Consider the following 7,506-nt stretch of genomic DNA (forward strand, 5'->3'; position numbering starts at 1 on the left):
AGAGACAGGGTTTCACCGTGTTAGCCAGGATGGTCTCGATCTCCTGACCTTGTGATCCACCTGCCTCGGCCTCCCAAAGTGCTGGGATTACAGGCTTTTTTTATTATTATTATTATACTTTAAGTTCTAGGGTACATGTGCACAATGTGCAGGTTTGTTACATAAGTATATATGTGCCATGTTGCTTTGCTGCATCCATTAACTCGTCATTTACATTAGGTATTTCTCCTAATGCTATCCCTACCCCCTACCCCCACCCCATGACAGTCCCCACTGTGTGATGTTCCCCACCCTGTGTCCAAGTGTTCTTGTTGTTCAATTCCCACCTATGAGTAAGAACATGCAGTGTTTGGTTTTCTGTCCTTGCAATACTTTGTTGAGAATGATGGTTTCCAGTTTCATCCATGTCGCTGCAAAGGACATGAACTCATCCTTTTTATGGCTGCATAGTATTCCATGGTGTATATATGCCACATTTTCTTAATCCAGTCTATCATTGGTGGACATTTGGGTTGGTTCCAAGTCTTTCCTATTGTGAATAGTGCCACAATAAACATATGTGTGCATGTGTCTTTGTAGCAGCATGATTTATAATCCTTTGGGTATACACCTGGTAATGGGATCGCTGGGTCAAATGGTATTTCTAGTTCTAGATCCTTGAGGAATCACCACATTGTCTTCCACAATGGTTGAACTAATTACATTCCCACTAACAGTGTAAAAGTGTTCCTATTTCTCCACATCCTCCCCAGCACCTGTTGTTTCCTGACTTTTTAATGATCACCATTCTAACTGGTGTGAGATTGTATCTCATTGTGGTTTTGACTTGCATTTCTCTGATGGCCAGTGATGATGAGCATTTTTTCATGTGTCTGTTGGCTGCATAAGTGTCTTCTTTTGAGAAGCATCTGTTCATATCCTTTGCCCAATTTTTGATGGAGATGTTTGACTTTTTCTTGTAAATTTGTTTGAGTTCTTTGTAGATTCTGGATATTAGCCCTTTGTCAGATGGGAAGATTGTAAAAATTTTCTCCCATTCTGTAGGTTGCCTGTTCACTCTGATGGTAGTTTCTTTTGCTGTGCAGAAGCTCTTTAGTTTAATTACATTCCATTTGTCTATTTTGGCTTTTGTTGCCATTGCTTTTGGTGTTTTAGTCATGAAGTCCTTTCCCATGCCTATGTCCTGAATGCTATTGCCTAGGTTTTCTTTTAGGGTTTTTATGGTTTTAGGTCTAACATGTAAGTCTTTAATCGATCTTGAATTAATTTTTGTATAAGGTGTAAGGAAGGGATCCAGTTTCAGCTTTCTTCATATGGCTAGCCAGTTTTCCCAGCACCATTTATTAAATAGGGAATTATTTCCCCATTTCTTGTTTCTGTCAGGTTTGTCCGAGATCAGATGGTTGTAGATGTGTTGTATTATTTCTGAGGCCTCTGTTCTGTTCCATTGGTCGATATCTCTATTTTGGTACCAGTACCATGCTGTTTTGGTTACTATAGCCTTGTAGAATAATTTGAAGTCATGTAGCCTGATGCCTCCAGCTTTGTTCTTTTTGCTTAGGATTGTCTTGTCAATGCGAGCTCTTTTTTGGTTCCATATAAAATTTAAAGTAGTTTTGTCCAGTTCTGTGAAGAAAGTCATTGGTAGCTTGGTGGGGATGGCATTGAATCTCTAAATCACCTTGGACAGTATGGCCATTTTCATGATATTGATTCTTCTTATCCATGAGCATGGAATGCTCTTCCCTTTGTGTCCTCTTTCATTTCATTGAGCAGTGGTTTGTAGTTCTACTTGAAGAGGTCCTTCACGTCCCTTGTAAGTTGGATTCCTAGGTATTTTATTCTCTTTGAAGTGATTGTGAATGGGAGTTCACTCATGATTTGGCTCTCTGTCTGTTATTGGTGTATAAGAATGCTTGTGATTTTTGCATATTGATTTTCCGTCCTGAGAATATGCTGCAATTGCTTATCAGCTTAAGGAGATTTTGGGCTGAGACTATGGGGTTTTCTAAATATGCAATCATGTCATCTGCAAACAGGGGCAATTTGACTTCCTCTTTTCCTAATTGAATACGCTTTATTTCTTTCTCCTGTCTGATTGCCCTGGCCAGAACTTCCAACACTATGTTGAATAAGAGTGGTGAGACAGAGCATCCTTGTCTTGTGTCAGTTTTCAAAGGGAATGCTTCCAGTTTTTGCCCATTCAGTATGATATTGGCTGTGGGTTTGTCATAAACAGATCTTATTATTTTGAGATACATCCCATCAACACATAGTTTATGAAGAGTTTTTAGCATGAAGGGCTCTTGAATTTTGATGAAAGCCTTTTCTGCATTTATTGAGATAATCATGTGGTTTTTGTCTTTGGTTCTGTGTATATGATGGATTACGTTTATTGATTTGCGTATGTTGAACCAGCCTTGTATCCCAGGGATGAAGCCAACTTGATCGTGATGGATAAGCTTTTTGATGTGCTGCTGGATTCAGTTTGCCAGTATCTTATTGAGGATTTTTGCACCTATGTTCATCAGGGATATTGGTCTAAAATTCTCTTTTTTTTTGTTGTATCTCTGTCAGGCTTTGGTATCAGAATGATGCTTCCCTCATAAAATGAGTTAGGGAGAATTCCCTCCTTTTCTACTGCTTGGAATAGTTTCAGAAGGAATTGTACCAGCTCCTCTTTGTACCTCTGGTAGAATTTGGCTGTGAATCAGTTTGGTCCTGGACTTTTTTTGGTTGGTAGGCTATTAATTATTGCCTCGATTTCAGAGCCTGTTATTGGTCTATTCAGGCATTCAACTTCTTCCTCATTTAGTCTTGGGAGTGTGTATGTGTCCAGGAGTTTATCCATTTATTCTAGATTTTCTAGTTTATTTGCATAGAGGTGTTTATAATATTCTCTGATGGTAGTTTGTATTTCTGTGGGATCAGTGGTGATATCCCCTTTATCATTTTTTATTGCGTCTATTTGATTCTTCTCTCTTTTCTTCTTTATTAGTCTTGCTAGCCGTCTATCAATTTTGTTGATCTTTTCAAAAAACCAGCTCCTGGATTCAATGATTTTTTGAAGGGTTTTTGTGTTTCTATCTCCTTCAGTTCTGCTCTGATCTTAGTTATTTCTTGCCTTCTGCTAGCTTTTGAATGTGTTTCCTCTGGCTTCTCTAGTTCTTTTAAGTGTGGTGTTAGGGTGTCGATTTTAGATCTTTCCTGCTTTCTCTTGTGGGCATTTAGTGCTATAAATTTCCCTCTACACACTGCTTTAAATGCGTCCCAGAGATTCTGGTATGTTGTGTCTTTTTTCTCATTGGTTTCAAAGAACATCTTTACTTCTTCCTTCATTTTGTTATGTACCCAGTAGTCATTCAGGAGCAGGTTGTTCAGTTTCCATGTAGTTGAGTGGTTTTGAGTGAGTTTTGTACTCCTGAGTTCTAATTTTATTGCACTGTGGTCTGGAAGACAGTTTGTTATAATTTCTGTTCTTTTACATTTGTTGAGGAGTGCTTTACTTCCAACTATGTGGTCAATTTTGGAATGAGTGCAATGTGGTGCTGAGAAGAATGTATATTCTGTTGATCTGGGGTGGAGAATTCTGTAGATGTCTATTAGGTCCACTTGGTGCAGAGCTGAGTTCAACTCCTGGATATCCTTGTTAACTTTCTGTCTCGCTGATCTGTCTAGTGTTGACAGTGGGGTGTTAAAGTCTCCCATTATTATTGTGCGGGAGTCTAAGTCTCTTTGTAGGTCTCTACAGACTTGCTTTATGAATCTCGGTGCTCCTGTATTGGGTGTGTATATATTTAGGATAGTTAACTTTTCTTGTTGCATTGATCCCTTTACCATTATGCAATGGCCTTCTTTGTCTCTTTTGATCTTTGTTGGTTTAAAGTCTGTTTTATCAGAGACTAGGATTGCAATTCCTGCTTTTTTTGTTTTCCATTTGCTTGGTAAATCTTCCTCCATCCCTTTATTTTGAGCCTATGTGTATCTCTGCACATGAGATGAGTCTCCTGAATACAGCACACTGATGGGTCTTGACTCCATCCAATTTGCCAGTCTGTGTCTTTTAATTGGGGCATTTAGCCCATTCACATTTAAGGTTAATATCGTTATGTGTGAATTTGCTCCTGTCATTGTGATGTTAGCTGGTTATTTTGCTCATTAGTTGATGCAGTTTCTTCCTAGCATCGATGGTCTTTAAAATTTGGCATGTTTTTGCAGTGGCTGGTACCAGTTGTTCCTTTCCATGTTTAGTACTTCCTTCAGGAGCTCTTGTAGGACAGGCCTGGTGGTGACAAAATCTCTCAGCATTGGCTTGTCTGTAAATGATTTTATTTCTCCTTCACTTATGAAGCTTAGTTTGGCTGGATATGAAATTCTGGGTTGAAAATACTTTTCTTTAAGAATGTTGAATATTGGCCCCCACTCTTCTGTCTTGTAGAGATTCCGCTGAGCAATCCACTGTTATTCTGATGGGCTCCCCTTTGTGGGTAACCCGACCTTTCTCTCTGGCTGCCCTTAACAATTTTTCCTTCATTTCAGCCTTGGTGAATCTGACAATTATGTGTGTTGGGGTTGCTCTTCTTGAGGAGTATCTCTGTTGCATTCTCTGTATTTCCTGAATTTGAATGTGGGCCTGCCTTGTTGGGTTGGGGAAGTTCTCCCGGATAATATCCTGAAGAGTGTTTTCCAACTTGGTTCTGTTCTCCCCATCACTTTCAGGTACACCAATCAAATGTAGATTTGGTCTGTTCACATAGTCCCATATTTCTTGGAGGCTTTGTTCATTTCTTTTTACTCTTTTTTTCTCTAAACTTCTCTTTTCACTTCATTTCATTCATTTGATCTTCAATCACTTATATCCTTTCTTCCATTTGATCGAATCAGCTACTGAAGCTTGTGCATGCGTCACCTAGTTCTCGTTCCATGGTTTTCGCTGCATCACGTCATTTAAGGTCTCCTCTACTCCGTTTATTCTAGTTAGCCATTTGTCGAATCTTTTTTCAAGGTTCTTAGCTTCTTTGTGAAGGGTTCGAACATCCTGCTTTAGCTTGGAGAAGTTTGTTATTACCGATCTTCTGAAGCCTACTTCTGTCAACTCGTCAAAGTCATTCTCCATCCTGCTTTTTTCTGTTGCTGGCAAGGAGCTGTGATCCTTTGGCGGAGGAGAAGCACTCTGATTTTTAGAATTTTCAGCTTTCCTGCTCTGCTTTCTCCCCATCTTTGTTGTTTTATCTACCTTTGGTCTTTGATGATGGTGACCTGCAGATGCGGTTTTGTTATGGATGTCCTTTTTGTTGATGTTGATGCTATTCCTTTCTGTTTGTTAGTTTTCCTTCTAACAGTCAGGACCCTCAGCTGCAGGTCTGTTGGAGTTTGCTGGAGGTCCACTCCAGACCGTGTTTGTCTGGACATCACCAGCAGAGGTTGCAGAACAGTAAATATTGCAGAACAGCAAATGTTGCTGCCTGATCCGTCATCTGGAAGCTTTGTCTCAGAGGGGCCCCTGGCTGTAAGAGGTGTCTGTCGGTCCCTACTGGGAGGTGTCTCCCAGTTAGGCTACTCAGTAGTCAGGGACCCACCTGAGGAGGCAGTCTGTCCATTCTCAGATCTCAAACTCTGTGATGGGAGAACCACTACTCTCTTCAAAGCTGTCAGACAGGGACGTTTAAGTCTGCAGAAGTTTCTGCTGCCTTTTGTTCAGCTGTGCCCTGCTCCCAGAGGTGGAGTCTACAGAGGCAGGCAGGTCTCATTGAGCTGTGGTGGGCTCCACCCAGTTCGAGATTCCTGCCACTTTTTTTTACCTAGTCAAGCCTCAGCAATGGTGGACGCCCCTCCCCAGCCTCACTGCCACCTAGCAGTTTGATCTTGGACTTCTGTACTAGCAGTGAGCAAGGCTCCATGGGCATGGGACTCATGGAGCCAGGTGCAGGATGTAATCTCCTGGTGTGCCGTTTGCTAAGACCATTGGAAAAGCCCGGTATTAGGGTGGGAGTGTCCCGATCTTCCAGTTACCGTCTGTCATAGCTTCCCTTGGTAGGAAAGGGAATTCCCTGATCCCTTGTGCTTCCCCAGTGAAGTGATGCCCCGCCCTGCTTCAGCTCACACTCCATGGGCTGCACCCACTGTCCAACAAGTCCCAGTGAGATGAACCTGGTATCTCAGTTTGAAATACAGAAATCACCCATCTTCTGCTTTGCTCACACTGGGAGCTGTAGACTGGAGCTGTTCCTATTTGGCCGTCTTGGACAGAGGATTTTTTTTTTTTTTTTTTTTGGAGACAAAATCTCACTCTGTCACCCAGGCTGGAGTGCAATGGCACAATCTCGGCTCACTGCAACCTCTGGCTCCCGGGTTCAAGTGATGGGATCCTCCCCCAGCCTCCTGAGTAGCTGTGATTACAGGTGTGCACCACCTCGCCTAGCTAATTTTTGTATTTTTAGTAGAGATTGGGTTTCACCATGTTGGTCAGGTTGGTCTCAAACTCCTGACCTCATGATCCACCTGCCTCAGCCTCCCAAAGTGCTGGGATCACAGGCACGAGCCACCATGCCTGGCCCCTCTTTTTCTTAATTCATTTAATGGCCTATATCTTTTGATTGGGAAATTTAATTCATTTACATTTCATATAATTATTAATAGCTAACAATACTTACAATTATCCTTTTGTTAGTTGTTTTCTGACTATTTAATGGTTTCTTTGTTCCTTTTGTCCTCTCTTGCTGTCTTCGTTTTTGATTTGATGAGTTTTGTGTGGTGGTATGCTTTTGTTTCTGCCTCTTTCTCTTGTATATAAGTGGGTTTTTGGTGGTTATTATGGGGCTTACATGAAATATCTTATAGCTGTAGCTATCTAGTTAATCCCATATAAACTTACATTTGTTCTCTTACCCAAATTCAACATTTATACACACACCCCCAAACATTTTATGTTTTTGATGTCAAAATGTGTGTGTGTGTGCTTTTTATATGTATATCTATTAACAACTTGTGGTAGTCATAGTTATGTTACATACATTTGTTTGTTAATCTTTATACTAGAATGAACAGTGATTTATTTACCACAATTCCAGTATTAGAGTATTCTGAATTTTACTACACACTTACCTTTTCCATTAAATTTTATAATTTCATTTTTTTGTTACTAATTAGAATTCTTTTGATTCAGCTTGAAGTGTCTCCTTTAGCATTTGCTGTGAGGTAGGTCTAGTGTTAATGAACTTTGTCAGTTTTTGTTTTCTGGGAAAGTCTTTATGTCTCCTTCCTTTCTGAATGACAGCTATGCCAGGTAAAGTATTCTTGGTTTGTAGTCTCTTTTCTTTTAAAACTTTGAATGCATCATCCCATTGTCTCCTCAGCTTAAAGTTTTTTTAATCAATAAATTTGCTGATAGTCTAATAAAAGTTTTCTTGTATGTGACAAGTCTCTTCTCTTGCTACTTTCAAAATTCTCTTTGATTTTTGACTATTTGGTTATTATATGTTTCAGTGAAGTTTTATTTTTATTGAA

At 40.2% G+C, this 7,506-nt stretch overlaps 2 annotated features.

The window, feature by feature from the left end:
- Nucleotides 6,044-7,154: an origin of replication, noted in NCBI's record as "1.1 kb EcoRI fragment; promotes replication of a plasmid". NCBI's record gives the evidence for it as "EXISTENCE:genetic transformation evidence [ECO:0005027][PMID:8107675, PMID:10653986]".
- Nucleotides 6,058-6,509: an origin of replication, noted in NCBI's record as "site of nascent strand synthesis determined by PCR of size-fractionated nascent DNA". NCBI's record gives the evidence for it as "EXISTENCE:fractionation evidence [ECO:0000100][PMID:9356241]".

The sequence above is a fragment of the Homo sapiens genome, chromosome 2, assembly GCF_000001405.40.
Source record: "Homo sapiens chromosome 2, GRCh38.p14 Primary Assembly".
Taxonomy (NCBI): Eukaryota; Metazoa; Chordata; class Mammalia; order Primates; family Hominidae; genus Homo; species Homo sapiens.